The sequence below is a fragment of the Homo sapiens genome, chromosome 14 (assembly GCF_000001405.40).
Source record: "Homo sapiens chromosome 14, GRCh38.p14 Primary Assembly".
NCBI classification, from domain to species: domain Eukaryota; kingdom Metazoa; phylum Chordata; class Mammalia; order Primates; family Hominidae; genus Homo; species Homo sapiens.
Window position 1 is genome coordinate 62,065,763 of NC_000014.9, and position 20,587 is coordinate 62,086,349.

General features: G+C 41.9%; 1 protein-coding gene across 19 annotated transcripts in view, besides 2 other annotated features; it reads left to right on the forward strand.

Annotated features, from left to right (window-relative positions):
- SYT16 (synaptotagmin 16) overlaps positions 1–20,587 on the forward strand; it is a 300,664-nt gene that overhangs the window by 253,601 nt on the left and 26,476 nt on the right. For 15 of the 19 annotated variants that reach the window (NM_001367650.1, NM_001367661.1, NM_001367659.1 and 12 more), the window contains 4 exons: positions 3,841–4,053; positions 9,373–9,629; positions 15,072–15,512; positions 18,434–18,623. In NM_001367650.1, the coding sequence (NP_001354579.1) occupies positions 9,555–9,629; positions 15,072–15,512; positions 18,434–18,623 (706 nt within the window). In that variant the 5' untranslated portion in view covers positions 3,841–4,053; positions 9,373–9,554. Of the gene's footprint in view, positions 1–3,840; positions 4,054–8,815; positions 8,932–9,372; positions 9,630–15,071; positions 15,513–18,433; positions 18,624–19,472; positions 20,417–20,587 lie in introns of those variants that run through there. The other 4 variants (NM_001367657.1, NM_001367654.1, XM_024449726.2 and 1 more) reach the window with 3 other exon arrangements.
- Positions 5,220–5,721: an enhancer, noted in NCBI's record as "NANOG hESC enhancer chr14:62537700-62538201 (GRCh37/hg19 assembly coordinates)". NCBI's record gives its function as "activates a minimal SCP1, AML or CMV promoter by ChIP-STARR-seq in primed H9 embryonic stem cells {active_cell/tissue: H9 hESC(primed)}" and the evidence as "EXISTENCE:reporter gene assay evidence [ECO:0000049][PMID:30033119]".
- Positions 15,310–15,429: an enhancer, noted in NCBI's record as "active region_8503". NCBI's record gives its function as "activates an Ori minimal core promoter by ATAC-STARR-seq in GM12878 lymphoblastoid cells {active_cell/tissue: GM12878}" and the evidence as "EXISTENCE:reporter gene assay evidence [ECO:0000049][PMID:35858748]".

The following is a 20,587-nucleotide window of genomic DNA, read 5'->3' on the forward strand; positions in this document are numbered from 1 at the left end:
AGTTTGATTTTGTTCCTGTTGTCCCTGGATCTCTCCTATATGCATTGGTCCATCGCATCCTAGAGTGCTATGCCCAGCACATGGAGGCATGAAGAGACTGGTCATTATGGTGGTTTTCTGATGGAATGGTATTTGCCTAGCTTATTGGAGTAATGCTGGGAAATCCAGTCTCTTCTGACACTTAGGTTTTCAAGCCCTACTGTGGCGTTAGATGCAGCCAATAGAATTAAGTGAGATGACAAAGATGTACTCTTATGTTCATGGAGAAGCTGCTCCATAAAAGAGAAGATCAGTGAAAAACAAATCAAATGTTGATGCATGTCCAGCAGGAAGTTTGGAGTTGGAGAATTTTAGAGCTAGAAAAGACCTGGGAGATGATCCAGACCTTTAAAATGATCCAAAAACAAGGCATAAGAGAGATTAAGAGACTTGGCCACAGGACCTCCACTAGTTAATGTGAGTACACAGAGTGAGAGTTCTTTCCACCACCTCTCTCTGATTCTCCAGCACTATGATTAGAAATGTGGGTGCTAGAGACTGGCTGCTTTAAATCAGATCTTGGTTCTGCTCTTAATTGACGGTGTGATCTTCTGCCAGCTGTGTACTTCTCTCTGCCTCAGTTTTCTTGGAAAAATGGAAATAGTTGTAAAGGTTTTGTGTGTCGGGCACTTATGACAGTGCCTGGCACATAATGAGCACTCAGTAAGTGTGTTATTATTGCTAGTCTTCCAAAGAACCTCAGGAATGTCAGCTCTTAGACAAGCCAGAGAATACATGTTTTGACCAGGCTGGTGTTTAAAAGTATTTTCTCTCACTTGAAATATGGCTTTTTATTCCTTCCTGGCTTCTGACTCAGAAGTGATCTTCAGGACCCATCTGTGAATGAACAACCATATTCTTCTCTGGAATCACTATTTGACTTTGGGATATAAAATGATGAAAAATTATTCCCCATTATTTATGGTTTCCAATTCACATTCAGCAAATATTTACAGAGTATTCTGCTTTGTGCCTGGCTTGGAGATAGGGCCTGGATGCAAAGGTGGGCAGTCTGATGTGCTCCTCGCCCTCATGGTATATGCAGATTAGGTGGGGTAACTTGCAGTTAGATAGGTAATGCTGCCGTGGCATCCGAGGGAGCACTGACAAGAGAGAACAGAAAATTGTTTCACAGCACATGCAGGGAGCTCTTAACCTGCTGAACCTGCTGTAAGAGGTCAGGGAAGGACTTTCTGGAAGAAGTGATGTCTAAGCTGAGACCTCAATGATGAGTTAGATTCCTGACTAGTGTATATAGGGGCTGGAGAAGAGTATTCTAAGCACAGGGAACCGTGTGTGTGCATGTGTGTGTGTGTGTGTATGTGTGTGTGCATGGATATACACTCAGGCTTAGGAGAACTCTGGGTATTCACCAAGTCATTCAATATTTAACAAGTATTTATGAACTACTTACCGTGGAGAAGGCATTGTTTTACATATTGAGAGACATCAGTTAACAAAATAGGAAATATCCTTATTTTCATGGAAGTTATAGGGGAGAACAGAGAACTAAAGCTTAGTGCTATGAAGGCAACTACTTAAGGGAGGGTGTTCAGGGAGGACTGTAGGATGAAGTGCCAGTCAAGCTGAGACCTGCGATGTGAAGGAGCCAGACATATAAACACCTGGGGGAGGCAGAAGGAACAACAAAGTCAAAGAGCTCAACAGGAGGAACAATCTCGGCCTGTTGGAGAAACTGAAAGAGGGCCCGTGTGCTGGTATATCAAGGGTGTGGGAAAAGTGTATGAATAATTCAAAGGGTGTTTCATTAGGAAGGCTATTATCAAAAACACAAAAGACATCGTGTGTTGGTGAGGGTATGGAGAAGAGGAAACTCTAGCATACTGTTGCTGGGAATGTACATGGTGGCAGCTGTTATGGAAAACAGTATAGAGGTTCCTAAATAAATTAACAATAGGCTGGGGGCATGGTGGCTCACGCCTGTAATCCCAACACTTTGGGAGGCCCTGACCAACATGGTGAAACCCTGTCTCTACTAAAACAAACAAACAAACAAACAAACAAATAAATAAATAAAGCTGGGTATGGTGGTGCATGCCTGTAATCTCAGCTACTCTGGTGGCTGAGGCACGAGAATTGCTTGAACCTAGGAGACAGAGGTTGCAGTGAGCTGAGATTGTGGCACTGCACTCCAGCCTGGGTGGCAGAGCGAGACTCTGTCTCAAAGAAAAGAAAAAAAATTAATAATATACTACTATATGATCCACAAGTCCATCTTCTGGGTATATACCTAAAGGAGGTGAAATCACCACCTCATAAAGGTATCTGCACTCCCATGCTCACTGCAGCATTATTCACAATAGCCAAGATAAGGAAACAACCTAAGTGTCCGTCAGTGGACAAATGGATAAAGAAATTGTGGTACATAAATATGCCTTAGAAAGGAAGGAGATTTTTATATTGACAATGAAAAAAAAATTTTTAAAAAGGAGATCTGCCATTTGCCCTAACATGAATGGAACTGGAGGACATTATGCTAAATGAAATAAGCCAGACACAGAAAGAGGCATAGTGCATCATTTCACTTAGATGTGGAATCTAAAAAAACAAAACAAAACAAAACAAAACAAAACAAAACAAAACAGTTACCAAGGGGCAGGGGGCAGGAGTAGGGATGCATGTCAAAGTATACAAAGCGGATATGCAGGATGAACAAGTCTACAGATCTAACCTATAAGATGTGGATTATAGTGAATAAAACTGTATTTCATTAGGAGCTTTTGTTGAATAAGTAGATTTCAGCTGCTCTTGTTACACAAAAAAGTAACTATGTGAGGTGATAGATATGTTAATTTGCTTCACTCTAGGAACCATTTTACTATCTGTATGTATCCCATACCATCATGTTGTAAACCTCAAATATGTACAATACAACTTATTTTTCAAAGGTTGGGTTGTTGATGCTGAGAAAGATTCAGAAAATTTCTAAATGAGTTAAAACACACACACACACACACAATGAGTCTCTTTTCTCTTCTTTTTCTTTTTTTTGAGACAGTGTCTCACTCTGTCACCGAGGCTGGAGTGCAGTGGTGCGATCTCAGCTCACTGCAACCTCCACTTCCTGGGTTCAAGTGATTCTCCTGTCTCAGCCTCCCGAGTAGCCAGGATTACAGGCTCCTGACACCGTGCCTGGCTAATTTTTGTATTTTTTGTAGAGACAGGGTTTCACCATATTGGCCAGGCTGGTCTGGAACTCCTGACCTCAAGTGATCTGCCCACCTCGGCCTCCCAACGTGCTGGGATTACAGGCGTGAGCCACTGCGTCTGGTGGGGTCTCTTTTCAAAACTAGAAAGCTTTTGGAAAATAAAATCGTGTTGTAGATATTCCTTCTCCGAAGTGGGGATTGGCTATGTGTGTTTTAATAAATGAGATTAGATGAAGAGCATACATCCCATGGTCATTGACTAGAACTGCATATAAGGCAAATGTGCTGATAAACGTTCTGTTTCCAGTTATGAACACATTTAAGCAGCGTAACAAATCAGCAGGGCTGCCTGGCTCAACATGAGGGTTCATTATGATGATTATGGGTGTCCCAATGATTTGTCTTGGGTTCTAGCTATATACCGTATTTCTAATTACCTTCATGAGCATTCTTTGCTTTGGACTCAAATTTGTGTTGCAAAAGTGCTTTAAATTTTTTTTCTATCCAGTTTGAGTGTGCCTTCGTTCAAACTCATTGTCCACGTTCTTCTCTTCTGTTTTCCTGGAGAGTCTATCTCTGTATTCGAGCATATAGGCCACACAGGAGACTCATGGCTCTTGTTTACTCCCAGTCAACAGCTTTGGGGATGACGAAGAGCTGTCCACATCTTCTGACAGTGACGAGGAGGTGATCAAACAATTTGAGATTTCCGTGTCCCGGTCCCAGAGTTTCCGTTCAGTGACATCTGAGAAAGGAAAGCAGACAGGATTGGAGCAGAAACCAAAATTCAGCCGTTCGTTGTTGACACACGGAGAAGATGGCACAGAAGTATCTGCCTGCGAAGGTATCCTTTGCCTCACATCCTTTCTTTAGACCAGGGATGGCCAATGGTAAGAGTGCATCCGAATTATTCACCCTCTGCACTCTGCATCTGAGAGTCCAGAGAGGAAAAGAAAATGAGGCAGGATGCATTACGTGGAGCAAAGGGGCTGCTTTGAACCTCCCAAGGGGACTGCCATGCAGGAGGTTGAGAGAGGGAATGGATCAGGAGTGGGTGGGTCTCAATACTAGGTTGTGGGACCCCTTCCCTTTCTTTCTTATTGGCCACTTCTTCCTAAATTTAGAATAGTATTTGTTGAGCTTAGCAAATCTTGTTCCCTTTTGATAGATACGAAAATGTCACGTACTTGTCCACTGACATTGAGAGTCTGTGCCATTTCTCCCATTTAGAATCATAAAATAAGTTTTCCACATATCTGTATAACTCCGGAAGATATTTTGAAGCCTTTCTTCTAATTAGTTTGCATTACGAAATCAATGGGTATTTTTATCTTTCAAATAAAAAAAGTAGTGTAATAATATTAAATAACCTTTTTCAAACAGCACATGCCCCTGCATCCTTACTCTCAGTCCCTGTAGTTTCTGACACACCCCACCTGCATGAAAATTACTGGGTAAGCACAAAGTCTTATGTCATTTTCCAGCATCATCATCCTAAATTTACATTTCACAAAGGGGAGGGGATACTCAAAGCTAGGGCAGCCAGCTTGGGATGTTGGGCAGACCTTGTTACAGGTCCTCCTCCCCTCTCTAACATTAGACCCAAAGTAACCTGGAGAGAGGGTGCAAACAGAACAGTACACTATTTCTTTGTGCTTTCCCAAGCAAAGGTCAAGGTATCTATCTGACTCCTTCATGCCCAGAGCCCTGAATAGACAAAGCCATTGTAACAGGGAAGGGTCTGTGAAGTGTATTTGGTAAAAAAGCAAGAGAAAATGCTATGCCACCCACCTTCATGACCTGGTCTCAGTTACCTGAGCTCTCTAACCTTTCCTTCTTTCCTTTTGGGAAGGTGGTCAGTCAAATGAGGGCATAGCTGTAGATGTTCCATATTTTCAAACCCAGACAGATAAAAAGGAGGGTGCAGAAATTGAGAGAAGATAAAACGGGAGAAATTTTGATTTCAGGATGAGCACAGGACAAGCAGACAGAATAAAGGATTAAAGAGGTGGAATTAACAAAAAGACCCCTAATTTTCAGCAGGAATAACTTGCTATCCATCATGTAGTCTGACTTATTGACATAAGCCAACATCATGTATTTTATTGCCATTCTTTTTAGCTCAAATTAATAAGTAAAGGCCCTATATAACCAAACCACAACATCAGTGGCCGCTGACAGAGTCATTTGCCCACACCCCCTCTCTTGGCTTTTCTCTTTCTCTGATGTTACATCACAGCATTCCTTTCTCTCCATTGAGAGGGCAAATGTTAGCTAATGAAAGTTAATAGCAGTTGATTCCCTGAGAACAGCTTGTTTAATCCTAAAGCTAATGGCCCCATTTCCCAAAAGCCCAAGTGTCTGGCTTCTGATTTACACAAATGGCTGATGTTCTGAGAGTTCTGACAACCATTCTAACCCTTATCCTTCCTGGAACGAGCAACAAATTATCTCTTGTCCTAACTGGCAATTCTGAATTTTAGACAGATGGTGATAGAAAAGGTTAAAGAGGAAAAAAATCTACTACATTGAATGAAGTACCTGTAGATTTTGAAGAAAATCAGCAGGATTTTCACAGAAATAGCCACATGCCAAACTTTAGGTTACCAGACGCCATGGAAATGTTAACATGGTTTTTATTGCTTGATTTTTTTTGTTCATCTTTATATCAGTGGATTTTTTTCAGTGGTAAAGAATCATGAAAAGATTAAGCATGCACTCCAGAGAGGAATTTTTTGGTATGCCTATTCTCTATTTAGCTGTTTTATTCCACTGTAAACATTGTTTTGTAAGATCAAATTTAGTTGTAGAAACAGTTCTTCCACTTTAAAAATGCATTCAAAAGTGCTGGACAGTGAAATTAAAGGGCCAAATCTAAGTAAAATCTGAAACATGAGTGAGCTATTGGTAGGTTGTCTCATATTTCATCTTAAGTGAAATCCTTCATTCTAGATTCTGTGGTGAGGCTATTTAGAACCATGTTCCAGGCAAGTTCTCTTTTGTCCTGTGTATCTGATTTAGGATTATTGCACACTAATTGTCAATGCATTCCTGATAACGTTAAAGAGGGTTTTTGGTCTAAGTGGTCTGGATTGGAGGCCTGTATGCAAGGTCTTTAGACGTGAAAGGTTAGCTGTAGAATAATAGTCCATTTCCTGGGGCTTTTTCTTTTTTTCTAGCAGTAACCTTATTTTTGTGTATGGAATAGTTATTCTGAGGATATTTCCTACAAGCTAGATGTTATTACTCTGGTGTCCTCAAAACCAGCTCAATTGTCTCCAGAATGTGTACTTAGTTTTGTTTGAGATGGTATATCTGCCATGGTTCAATTGGAGAACTAGAATCAGCAGGATTACATGCATATATGTACATACAAAATGTACATGTACATGCAAACACCTGCACATGCAGGGGTGTGTGTGTGTGTGTGTACCCCAAGAGATTCATTGCAAAGAATTGGGAAGGTGGTGGCTGGCTAGGTAACAGAAATACACAGCCCCCATATTTGCGGTACAGGTTGTTGGGAAAGGTAGGGGGAAACTCTAGGCATGAGCTGAAGCTGTAGTTCTTAGGTTGAATTTCTTCTCCCGGGAACTTCAGTTCTCTTAAGGTCTTTCAGCTGACTGCTTATGTAGGATAATCTCCTTTGCTTAAAGTCAACTGATTATAGGCTTTAATCACATCTATAAAATACCTTCGCAGCAATACCTAGATTTAGTGTTTGATTGAGTAATTGGCACCTATAGTCTAGCCAAGTTGACGCATAAAACTTGCCATCACAGATGGTAAGCAGAAGTCTTTGTATTTGGGTGGTGATCGGGGAGAGAGGTTTGGGAGTATGAAAAAAGTATTTGAATAATGGGGTTTTATTCCATCAAAGTGGGATATGAACTAAGCAAGTGGAAGAATTTCTCTGTTAAAATAAATTTGGTTGATGTGACATAGTTATGGCCTATAATTTCTAAGAAGCCAGGATACGTTTCTCTGACAACAGGCAATTACTTTTGTGCGTCTATTGAAGGTGTCATGATCTTCTTTAATTTAAAGGCACGGGAAGACTGCTTTATGGAAAGGTGAATCACCTTTCCCTTTCCTCCTCCTCGCAACTTGACTTGTACCCCAGATTTGCTTCTCTAATTCATTCCTTGCTTGTCTGTCATGGAAAATGGTTTGTTACATTAATATCATTCTTATGTTTTTCAGTTATGAATAACTTTTCAAGGCTTAATGTAGCTTTTGAAAATTCTCTTATTACTGATCTTGGTATTATCACCGTAGGAGTTAAAGTCATGAGACAATTTTATGGGGATAATTTCTTGGCAAAGTAAAATTTTGTGCTGAAATCCTGCTGGGTTCTACACATGTTGATGGATGACCCACTGTTTAATAGGACATTTTCCTGTTCGCATATGTGAGGAATGGGTGTGCTAATTAGAGACTTAGAAGAAAATCCTGCTTTATGTTGTAGGTTTTTGCATGTGGATTTTTCCTTGTTCTGTCATTTTGTGTGGCCTGTTTTTAGGATGTTTGCCAAATAACCGAAAGTCTGGATGTAAAAATTTTGTAATGTCCCATAAAAGTGTTTCCAAGGGGTCTGAACTGAATAATGAAGGATAACGAGGAAGATAGGGAACTTTCTCAATGGCCTGCTGTGATTTTACAAAACCCCATATTAGGAGTCTGAAGTTCTGCCCCGAGGATCTGCCTGAAGATGTTTTTGTATGGTCTGGTTGATAACATATTTTTAAAATTTGAATGCTTACTATACATGGGTCATGTACTCTGGTGAACCCCTGTCACCACCACTCATATTGCTGCATACCTGGCTGCTTTCAATATTTGCTACCTACCTAGACTTTAAAGTTCTCTGAAGGGTAAGTGATAACGCATTGGCAGATAAAGACTATGCAGTAGATATATGTGGCTTAGTACCATCCAGAAGCTTACATTCTATTAATAGCTGAGGTATCAGACTAACAAGGGAAAACAATTGCTACCATACAATGTATATAGAAGAGCTTTATGACATAGACTTTGCCAACCCACGCCCTTGTCCTGTCTACATCTCTAGTTTTCTTTCATCCTGGGATGGGGTCTGCTGGAGGAGAAAAGAGGCCAAAGAGATAAGAGATCCTCAATTTCTCTTTGGGTGTGGGAGGCAAATAGTGGGGGCAGCTATTTCTTAGGAAGACCCTGCCAGCTTTTCCTGACCATCTGAGGACACTCTTGACATGTAGGAAGACGAAAGGGATGAATGGAGGTGAGGGGTGCTGAGAGAGAAAAGTGTGGAGACTGAAGGAGTCAGGGAAGTCTCAGGAGTTGGTGGTGCTTTGTATGGGGAGGGAGGACAGGACACAGGGAGGGTTTGAGGGGCACTGTGAGCAGAAATACACAGCTAGTATTTTCATAAACCAGTGAGACCAGAGGAATGAGACATGGTCACTTGGGAAGCAGTGGAAAATGGGGTTGGATGGGTTGGATGAGGCCAGTTCAGGCCAGGCAGGTAAGCAAGCCTAATATTTACGGAAGGCCTTGCTGGCTGCCAGGTGAATATTATTTCATGTGTCCACAGTGACCCTCTGATGGCTTTTATCATTTTTTAGATAAAGAAGCAAAGATTCAGAGAATTTGAATATTGTCCGGGTTCTTATGGCAGAGACAGGATTTAAACTCGGATCATACCAATCCAAGACCATGGATCAAGGAGAGAACTTTTTACTTGGTAGGATCACCAAAGCTTTTTGAGCAGAGGGTAATGTGGTAAACACTGAAGAGGAAAGGAAGCATGGTAGAGTCGGGAGACCATACGATCTCCATATTAGATGACTCTTTTTGCTTTTAGATCCATTGCAGAAGTCTTGTGGTCATTAGCTCCAGCAAAATGCTGTGTCGATTTTATCCTTTTGACATAAATATATATTCTCTACACTCATATTTAAAAAGTATTAAGCCTTCTGATACGCCACATAATGAGATAATGTTCTTTTTCATTTTATGGATCAAGTTTCTTCACTGTATGGATAGAATTATGTTTCTGCAGGTATTATTGGTATGGGTTCTGTTTCTGCAATCTTGATTGTTGTGACTGCAATTACTCAATTTCTCTAGGTAAAAAGGTGTTAAAAATAATGCATTTGAAATGGTTTTCTTATTGCAAATTTAGATTTGGATGGAGCCAGCCAACGGCGTTATTCTGAGAATCTCTCCTACGGTGAAGATGACCACATCCCTGCTCACTCACAGTCCCCATGTGAAAGAGGGGATGCCAAACACCACGGCACATCTCACCAAGAGTCCAGTGTGGTCCAAAGCCTCAGGCGCCAATCCACAGAGGGCAGCTTGGAGATGGAGACAGCTTTTAATAGCCGGGGATTTGAAGATTCCTATGCCACTGACAGCTCCTCCATGTGGAGTCCAGAGGCAAGTTATTTGTTTTTCATTCTTTCATTGGTTCCCTTTCCCCTTCCCCTCTTTCCACTCTCCTTTCTCATCTCTCTAAAAAAAAAAAAAAATTCCAGAAAGGAAGCATTACTTTTATCTGCAATAAATTTTTGTCCAGATGACCAAAATCCCATGCATGTCAATAAAAGAGTCATAAATTTCTCTCAAAATGGAAAAAAAAGGATGAACGGTAAAAAAAAAAAAAAAGAAAAAAAGAAAAAAAAATAAGAATGGTGGCAGAATGGATCCAGGAACAGCCAGGCTTTTCTTTTATATAAAGGCTTTTTATAGACTTAATTTTAAATAATGGAATTTTCAGTTCTTTAGAGGGACTGGTTTATTTACTTCATGGTTTCAATTAAGTGGAGTCTATTTTTATTTAGCCCAAATCTCAAGTTACGATTATTTGATATGAAAATTATTTGAAAATTGAACTAAAATGAAATGGCCTTCCAAGTGAAATTATACAAGGTGTAATGATGCAGATCTTGCACTGTGAATATATACAAAATATATTTTGTGCCTAGGAGACAGCATTAATCAGTAATGCCCCTCTGGCCATTGACATTGGTTTTGTAGTAAATCTCTGATAAAAGATACTTCTTCCAAAGTTCTTTTTCAAGTAAAGCTTAGTCCAGAATAAATGTAACAATCAATCCAGAGATATGGCTGGAGGTGATGATGGTAGTAGCTACCATTTATTGAGCAGTTAATATATGCCAGGCACTGTGATAAGGATTTTACCAAATTGTTTCCTTTTACTGGCCCTTACGGTTATTTTTCCATTAGATAGATCCCTCCTATCATGATTCTGTGACATTGGAAGGCATTAAGGAATGGTGTTTAATACCTAATTTGAAATTAATTTTGATGAAATAAGTCATATACATATATAAACCTTTAATATAATTTGCAGGGATGGGGGAAGAAGGAGAGAGGTGAATGGATTTTATTAGCATCCATTTGAGAAAATAAACAGGATGCATCTCTTATTAGGACTTGGAGTGTCACACACGCTAAATGCTCAAGGTAAAAAAAAAAAAAGGAATCACAGAAAACCCTGTTTCCAAGCCTTAACTGCTAACATGTTGGCGTGTGTAGGTAGTATCTAAGGAGGGGTATGCATACACATCTGTGCCCCTGTGTAGATGTCTCTGCTGAGGACCAGAAATGGTAGCTCACATATGTGGTTTGTGGCTTGTTAAAAAGCAGCCCTTCATATGGAGGCACCCAAAGCCATTAACTTTATACATTTTGTTTAAAAAAAGAAAAAACTCTGCTTACCCGTTAGTTTACTACCAAGCCGTATCAAATCCCACACACTAACTCTTAAAAAATATTTTGAATCTCTCTCCCAAAAACAAAACAGACCAAATGATTTGCCTGCCTATTGATACTCTGTCTCCTTGGTGATTGTGCCATGAGGCTTGGAAGTGACTTCTCCAGGTCACCTCCCATTTACCTGCCTGCTGGAGCTTTAATAGAAGACTCGGTATTGAGGGTACTAAATGTTCTCAGACTCCAAAAATACCCAGACATCTCTGTGTGCTCCATTCAACCTCCTATCTATTTTGAGAAAAAACTGTAATTTGGTGCTCCTACAGTAGAACCTCAAATCCAACTCGGAGGCAGTTCCCGTAACTGCCTGCTTTGCAGGCTTAGCTTGCCTTTTAAGAAATGATTTATTTGCCTCTTAGCTGTATTGAGAACTCTGTCTTCCCCTGTGTATCTGGCATCAGGAACATATTGTAGGCCTGTTTACTTTAGGCCACACAGATGACATCAACACTATCTTACTAAAACAGAAAGGCTTTCAATTTGACAGAAAATCTTTAAACCTACCTGGGTTTTGACAATTTGACACAAGTATTCTCATCTTAAGGAAAAGCCCAGGATATTGGAGCTCAAGGAATCATTTATTTTGTCTCAGCAGGAAACTGGTCGTGCAGTGTGACTACCTGTTAGGCTGATGGATTTTCGAGCTCTGCTCTTCTCTGCTGGCGAAGGCCTTTGGCTTTTTCCTGCAGACCCAGGGCTTGGCAGGAAAGACAATGGGAGTGTGGCTGGTGATTTTGAGCACACAGGGAGACAGGTGTCCCACTTTTCATCTCTGCTTTCCACTGATTAATTGGTTGGCCTTGAGAAGTTAATTAAAATCTGCCAAATGGGGATAAGAATGAAGAGATTTTTACCTTGCAGGAAGGTCAGATGGATTAGTGGTATTAACAGTACCCAAGTGAGGAGCTCCTTCAGTTGCCTGGTGAGAGGTAAAGTGTGTTGAAATAATTAATTGCTATGAAAATACCAGCATTCACAAATCTTTTTCTCAAATCAACCCAGGGAGGGGCTACAAAGCCCAGTTTTCATGGGCCACAGCTTGAATTGGCCTATCCAAAGCCCAGCCATTGGCAGGATCTGTTTATTCAGAGGAGTTCTTAGGACAGTCAGGAGCTCTACCCAGGACTCTCTTAGAAACCTGCAGGTGGAGTGAGCATTTATCCGAAGAGACAGCCTGATACATAAGTGGAGAGAGCTCCTCATTCACTAAAATATTTTTACCTTGGCATTGAAGTTGACAAAACTAAGAGCTATTAACTAACATTAAGAGCAGGGGCCTCAAAGGATGTGAAAACCACAGAGAGTGTGATTCCAACCCCCACCTTCCGTCTTCTCCCCCTTCATCTTGTGCGCTTGCTCTCTCTCTCTCTCTCTCTAGTGCTCTCTCGCTCTCTCTCTCTCTCTCTATATATATATATATAAACACACACACACACACACACACACATATGTCTATATGTAGAAATAGTTATGCCTAAAGGTTTGGGGAAGAAGAAAGGAGACTGTATGTTTCAAAATAAGGTTTGAAATTTTGAGTATTGGATACGAGTTAAGGCAGGCCTGGGACTCAAACTGCCAGGGCATGAGTCCTGGATAATCTTGTCTGGGAATTTGATCTGGGCTTGGGGGGAGAGAGCGTGTTAGTTATTTAGTCTTTCTAAGCTTGAGTTTCGTCCTCCATAAAATGAAGATATTAAAATACCTACCTCATTGCATTGATGTAAATATTCAAAAAGATAATGTTTCTTAGTTGGGTTCCTCAAAAAAGCAGAGCCTACGTAAAGGCTTTGTTCCCTGCTTTGGGAGTGCAACCCCAGGGAACAAAAGTGCGAGACAAGGGAAGTAAGGCAGGGAAGAAGGGAGGTCAAGTGTGAGAATACACAGTTGAATTGGCCACCACTCAGTATGGCTAATTGCCTGATCTTGTGTGATCACACTCCAAGAAGCTGTATGAACTGATAGGACAACTGACTACGGGGCAAAAAGTAGACTTCACATATATTGGTGTCAAGCAGGGTTCTGCAGCTGTCTAAGCCTTGGCGGTCGACAGAGAGACCAATGATAAGAAATGAGAATTATATTGTGTGGGTAGAAGGTAAGACTTTATTGAGTAGTTCCAGGCTGAAACTACTTAGAGCCCATATAGGCTGTGCCTTAGGGGAAGATGGAACATGAGTTAAGGCCAAGAAGATCTGAAGTGTTTAAGAGCCAATTTTTATAGTCTGTAAAGGATTTGATATGGTATTTGGCATAAGAAATAGTTTAGTAGATGTTAGCTATTATTACTTATGGTCAGAAATGCAATACAGAGATGATCAAGAGTAGGCTAAAATAGATGGGAGTTTTAGGAAGAGACAAGGGAGTTTGAGAGAAGATTCTGACTTGATTTTTGAGTTGGCCTAAATCCTTGGAGACTTGCTTCTAATATATATACACTAGTCAGTTGTATTCAAAAGTCTCTATAGCAACCACTTTTATCACTTGAAACTAAGTACCTCTGAATAGAAACACTCACGCATGATTGCATGCTCACAGGAAAGGATATAAGAAGCTTCACTTATTTTACAAGAAATCTAAATTTTCTTGCAGGCTAATTTGAATCTTAAAAGAAAAGGATATTTATTAGATGTCTACTGTCTGTCAAGTCCTCTACTTTTTACAACATCCCTACACAGAAGGTACCATCTCCATTTTACAGTTGAGGAAAATAGAACATGGAAAGGATTAAATGACTTGCCCAGTGTCATAGAGCTAGTAAGTGGTAGGCCTGGGCTTCCTAAGGAAATACGAACCCAGAGAACCATGAACTTTCACCCAGACTATGTGGGAAAGTTTCATTGATGGATGCACATTTTGAGGCATTGTATTATAATTTGAAACGAGATCTCTAAATTAGCAAGTTCTGGTGTTCAATTGCATAAATAAGAACTGGTTTGCAATAAGAATCAGATCAAAGTTTAGTTACAGGTAAGGATCATGCCTTCAGAGGAAAATAGAATTATTATTGACATTATTTATAATTTGTTAGTGGGGTGGTTCATTATAATAAATGCAGCCTAGCTCAGTTTTCCCAGTAAGGTCATCAGATCTGAGTGGCTGCATGTAAATTGCTACCCAAGGGTGACATTCCATAAAGAGGGATGTGTGTTTGAGAATAGGTAGCACCAGTCCAGTGGTGGGAATAGATATTTATGCAGTCTGGTCTAAGCCAGGTATTTTCATATCAATGAAAACCTCACAACAACACACCAGCAAGTAGGCACATTAATGTGCATTTTTAAGCTAGACTACCGAGAGGCTGGTCTATTTGGCCAGGGTAAAAAAGCTAGTCAGTGGTAGAGTTATGATTTCAATTTAGGTGTTCTGGCTCCAGGCTCAGTGTTGCTGTTTACTAAAGGGCTGTGGAGGTGTCCTCCTAAATCCTTGCTGCTCAAAGTGTGAGCCGAGGCTAGCAGCGTCAACATCCCTTGTGCCTGTCCCAGAAATGGCAGGATCTCAAGCTCCACTCCAGACCTACTGAATCAGAATCCTCAGATGATTTAGGTCTACATTAAAGTTTGAGAAGCTCAGCCCTAAACCTTTTCTCCCACTTAGATTGAAAATATACTGAAGCATCACCTTCCTGGGACTCCCATCAAAATTCTTGTCTGTAGAAAGCTCTTGCCTGTGGAGAACAGGCTCAGGCTCAACCATCTGTATTTAGGGACACAAGGAAAAGTTGCCTATGGACAATTGCCTGTTGACTTAATTTTAGATTTAGCATCTCAGTTGGTTTCAATGATCCTGGGCAATTGTGCTTTTTGAGAGGCAGTATATATGAAAACACTTTGCAAAAATATAAAAGCTTTAGTTATCCATTCCAAAAACATTCACGAAGGCGCACCATATGCTAGGCACTTTGCCGTCAAAGAATTCACAGTTTAATGCAGCGATAGACCAGTAAACAGACCTATCTGATATAGAGGGAATACACTGGCAGTTAGAAAGCAGGGATTCTGAAGGAGCACAAAGGGGCACCAACTGGCCAAAATGTAATTGGGTATCATCATTTCCATTTCTAATTGTTTCCTCTGCCTGCAACAGGAACAGGACAGGACCAATTTGCAGGTGCCATCCGGGGTCTCAGAGCCCATCTCAAAGTGTGGTGACCTAGATGTCATCTTTGAATATAGAGCCGCCAGCCAGAAGCTCACAGTGACCATTGTGAGGGCACAGGGCCTCCCAGATAAGGACCGAAGTGGTGTCAACTCCTGGCAAGTTCATGTAGTGCTGCTGCCTGGTAAGAAACACAGGGGCAGGACGAACATACAGAGAGGGCCCAACCCCGTCTTCAGGGAGAAGGTCACCTTTGCCAAGCTGGAGCCCAGAGATGTGGCTGCCTGTGCTGTCCGCTTCCGCCTGTACGCTGCCCGGAAGATGACCCGAGAGAGAATGATGGGAGAGAAACTATTCTATCTCAGCCACCTGCACCCAGAAGGGGAAATGAAAGTGACTCTGGTTCTGGAGCCAAGAAGTAATATAAGCGTGAGTATGTTAAATGGTGCTGCTAATGATGTGGTGTGTTCGAAGACCTGGGATTGTCAGCCCTTGATTTAGTACGTTCAGTCTGTGAATTCAGAGACTTTAATTTAATTTTCCATTTGGCTCTCCTCACCCTTGTAAGCCATGATTTGCACTTCATGGTACAATGGGTCTTTCATGCCTGTCTTCCTGATAACCTGATGGATAAATGCCCTGTCCATTTTAGGACAAAATAGCAGCAGTGTGGTAGAGGGCATGGAGAAAAACAGGGAAGGTGGCTTGGCCCTCTGGATTGTGGATAACTGATCCTACTCCTCCTGCCCCCAATCTGCATCATGATGAATCTCAGAGATGGGACTTTCTGGGCAAGGTTCTTAACGGGTATGCTGGGGCAGACTGAGAGAGCAGCCCAGAACTTCAGCTGCTTCTGAAACCTTTCATTTGTGTTACTACCGTCTTCCCTCATACCCCATTTCCCTGCTTGCCACAGGGTTTCAAGGAAAGGTGTCATAATTTACATGCCTACAGGATGGGCAGCTCACTACTGCTGTGGGTTATATGTCATGTAGTATGCCCATCTCCTTTTACAAAACCACGTTAACAGATCAGGGAGCTCTGTAGGCTCTGGATTCAATCAGTCATTCATTCAGAGATGTTTACTGTCAATTATGGTATAGGCAAAGTGGATGCAGGAAAGAACTAAGCAGGCGATGCCTCTGCCCTTGGAGAGCTTGCAGTCTAGTGGTGGCCAAGTAGGCAAGGAGACAGAGTGATAGGCTGCCGCTTGTTTAGAGGATCAGAGAAAGTTTCTTTGAGGTGGTGATAAAACGCCGGAACTCAAAGCATCGAGAGAGCGAGGCTGGTGCTGTGAGGAGGATGAGAGTTCCAGACAGAGTGAACAGCACATGCAAGCAGTCAGGATGTGGGGTGGCCGGGGGAGTGGGGAAGCTTGTCATATCTGAGGAAGAACAAAGGAGACAGAAAGTCTGGACTGTAGTGGTGGCAGATCTGTCTGCTTAAATGTCCAATGATGTCTCAAAATTAACGTCTTCAGGCCTGAAATCCTGATTTTTGCCTCCCTAAATCTATTCCCCCTGCAGTCTTCTCCATGTTGCTTAAAGGCAGTTGCATTCTTCCAATTGCTGGGGTCAAAAATCTCAGAAGTCATCTGTGACTTTTCTGTTTTCCACCTGAAATCCTATTGGCTCTATCTTCAGGTACAACCAGAACCTGGCTCTCTGCTGGATTACTGAAATAGCTGCTCAGCGGTGGTCTTTCCACTTCTGCCTTTGCCTCTACAGACTCTTCTGGACATGGGAGCCAGAATGAGCTTTTTAAAGTTATAAGCCAGATGATGTCTCAGCTCTGCTCAGATCTCCCTTTTTTCTTAATATCTGAGTAAAGCACATCGGAAATGATGGAAAACAGAATGCAGTGGAGATCAGAAGGGATCCTGCGTGATAGAGCTTGGGAATGGGGATGATCACACCCATATTTATGCTTGCTAGGCCCTATGCTGTGTGCTGGTGGCACGGAGTTGAATGGGGAAAATGAGCTAGTGTAAAAGAACTTTGCAGGTGGAAGTCTTTCATTCACCAGTTATTTGTTGAGCACAGTTATGTGCCAGACATTAGGCTATGCACCAGGGACTGAGAGATTTATACGGATTCAGAATTTGATGGGAGAGGCAAGCAGTGAGTGACAGGTGCCACAGCGGGAAGCTTTTATAGGAGCACAGGAGGGGGAGTGAGTCTCACTTAAGAGTAAGCAAATATTTCATTGTTGAATTTTTATCTTCTAGACAGCAGGGTCTGTAAGACATCTATCACGACCACCTAGCCCTGCCGTTTACAAACTATGTTCCATACAGCCTCAGGTTAGGTGGGGGGCGCTCTGCAGAAATGTCTGTGGTTTGGTAAACAGGATACTTTCCTGCAGATGGGCAGAATATTTGATTCCTTTTATTGGTTCTAATTATTGAGTTTCTGGTCAGAAATTTGAAGAAATGATTTCAAACATTGAGAAGAAAGGTTTAAGTCAAGTCTAATGCCCTTGTTTCTGGTGGAGGAGATGGTGTTTCAGGGGGACAGGATTGCCTGCCCCCACAGGGTCGATTCCTACTCCCGTGCCTTGAGGGACAATCAGTGTCCTTCTCAGTTTTGTGCTCCTCCTCCCGATGTGCCCGTGCCTGGTGGGGAAGTGTAGGTGCTCAGGAGAAGCGTGCCCATGAATAAACATGACAGAAAGCTCAGGTTCTCCTGGGCTCACTTGGTGCCTGCCAGGTCGCTGAGACCCACAACCCATGTGTTGTCTTTTTTCTCAAACAGTTGTAAACGTGCTCATTTGTAATGTAAGTTATTTCTTTAAAAGGCAAAATTTGGCACCTGGCATATATTTAACAACCTTAAGCAGAACTAGGAGCCAAATGTTCTATGTGGGGGTAGACGTCCAGTGGTCATTTCTTTTATAGTTAAGACACAACGCCTCCTGTATTGCCATATTCATCAAGGAGCTGCAGAGAACAGAAACAAACCTCAGGCCTGGAGTGGAGGGGTTCCTTAGAAACATCCAAGCACAGATTACACAGGGGGGAATTTGAGTCTATATTGAATGTATTATTAACTCTCCTTGTATCTTAGAGGGTTTGATTTACACTAGTAATAACGTCTTTGTCCGTTTTGCCTTTAGAGAGGAAATATTGAATGGAGACAGCTCTTGAAACAAATATGTCAGTTCCTAATGCAGGGATCTCATCCGTGACTGTGCTCCCTGGGCCCATTGTAATTCACGCCGAGTGCGCCCTTAGTCATCTTTGGCAGTCATTGGGGATTGGGTCACAATTTCACCAAACATAATATCGGCTTTCTCTAAAAGAGAGTAGTGCAGCGTGGGCCAATGGATTCTTTGTTGTTCTTCCCCTCCAGAGTGGAGGGTCTCCGCTCAGCCCATCTGCGGTTTCTCACAGTGATAGTACTTCATCCACGCAGTCGCTGTCTCATGGAGGGGCGCCAGAGCTGTTGGTGGGGCTCTCGTACAATGCCACAACGGGGCGATTATCTGTGGAAATGATCAAAGGCAGCCATTTCCGAAACCTCGCTGTTAACCGAGCACCTGGTAAGTGTGAGTCTGTTCTCCCAGCTCTGGTTCTTCCAGAGGCAAGTGGAAAGCCCTGTCTGCTTTCATCTTAGTTCTTTAATTTTTACCATAAAAATGATCTTATTATGGCTTAAGCAAGCTTTCACAAAGAGATACCTCTGTATTTTTTAAATGGCTCTCTATTTAATTAGACTTCTTTGCTATCTAGATGTTTCTGGACATGAAATAGACTGGCCTGTGTGTCTATATTGTTTAAAGGAAAAGAATGAACAGCATTTTCAGCAACATAATGTGTATGGGCAATTAAAATCTGCTAATACGTCCTAGGCCCTCAACTTTAAAGAAAAAGAGCTCTGGCTTTGGAGTAAGGCAGATCTGGGATTGAATTCCAGCTTTACCTACCACTTAACCACTAGCTTTGATCTGATCCTGTGCAATTTATCCCTTTTCAGAACACAGCTAACTCATCTGACAAAAAAAGATATTAATAGTACCTTCCTGATGGAGTTGTTTTGGAGTTTAAATGAAATGATTTATTTAAAGCATTTAGTACCATGCCTATCACATAGTGAATGCACAAGAAATGTTAATGGTTGTGGTGGTGACAGAGAAAGGAAGTAAAGGAGGCAGATCTGGGGCAATGCAGGACTGGCTTTCTAGGGGAACTGCCACTTTTGAGATTGTCACTGGAAAGAGGGGTTCAAGGTATATCCCCAGAGCTGCAGTCCAAGGTTCAGAAAGCCAGACTCAAAAAGCTGCTGTTTTCAGTTGCCTCAACAGCCTCTCACCACCTAGGAAGTTAGAGATTGAACATTAGAAGCATGCTGTTAAAAAGTTAGCTTACCTTTTTATGATCTTGTTTTGCAGCAAAAAAGCTTGAAAGGGGGGCAGGAAGATGATTTCTTTTTTGCTTCTGCCTTCTGGACCTCATGCAAATACACCTAATTGGAGGACTTAATTTGGATCTGGAATGCTAGCTGCAAGAGAGTCTGAAAATGTTGTTGAATTTCTAGTCTTTTGAGTCAGGAAGGTAAACTAGAAGGGAGTAGAGTAGAGGGCTAGGGAGCCTGCCCACCATGGGCACCAAACTGTTATTGAAAGAAGGATGAAATCAGTATATTTGTGGCAGGCTGAAAGAGTCAGTGGGCTCAGGCCTCAGGTATCAGCAGCAGGTGAAGAACTAGGAGCACCACTGGAAAAGAGTCATCTCCTACAACTGAATCTGGGCTCTCACTCTTTTTTTGCCCTTAACTATGCTGCAGCCCACAAAGGATCTGTGGAATGGGGGTATCTTGTTAGTCAACTTGTATGAAAACCATTAGGAGGGCAAATTAGTAAGGAATGCCCCAGCACTTTGGATAACAGAATAGACTGGGTTTATCAGCCATATTCTATGTCGACACTCAGAGCCACATGAGGGCTATTTAGAATGCATAATAGATGCTTATTATTAATTGCATAGCTAGACTCTTTTTGCTAGATACCAATTTGTTTTCCAGAATAGCTCTGAATTTACTAGAGATCTGTCTGGATTTACTACTTTGCCTTCTGAACTTTTGCTAACCTCTTTTGCTGTCCTTCTGAGATCAGGTAAAGTCTGAACAATTTTTTAGGAACAGGGTAGAGATGCAGAGAATGATGGGGTTGTGGATCACACAATCATGGCCTATTCAAGTCCATGCTGGGAAGCTTTATTTGGTATATTGGGTGGTACCGGGCAATCCAGAGGAGAGGTACATCATCGTGCTTGAGAAAGTACCAGCTGGAGGCCAACAAACCAAGGTGTGAATTCAGGCTCTGCCACTTATTATAATAGTTGTGAGTTACTGGCTAGGCACGGTGGCTCAATGCCTGTAATCCCAGCGCTTTGGGAGGCCGAGGTGAATGGATCACCTCAGGCCAGGGGTTTGAGACCAGCCTGGCCAACATGGAGAAACCCCAGCTCTACAGAAAATAATAAAAATTAGCTGAGCTTGGTGGTG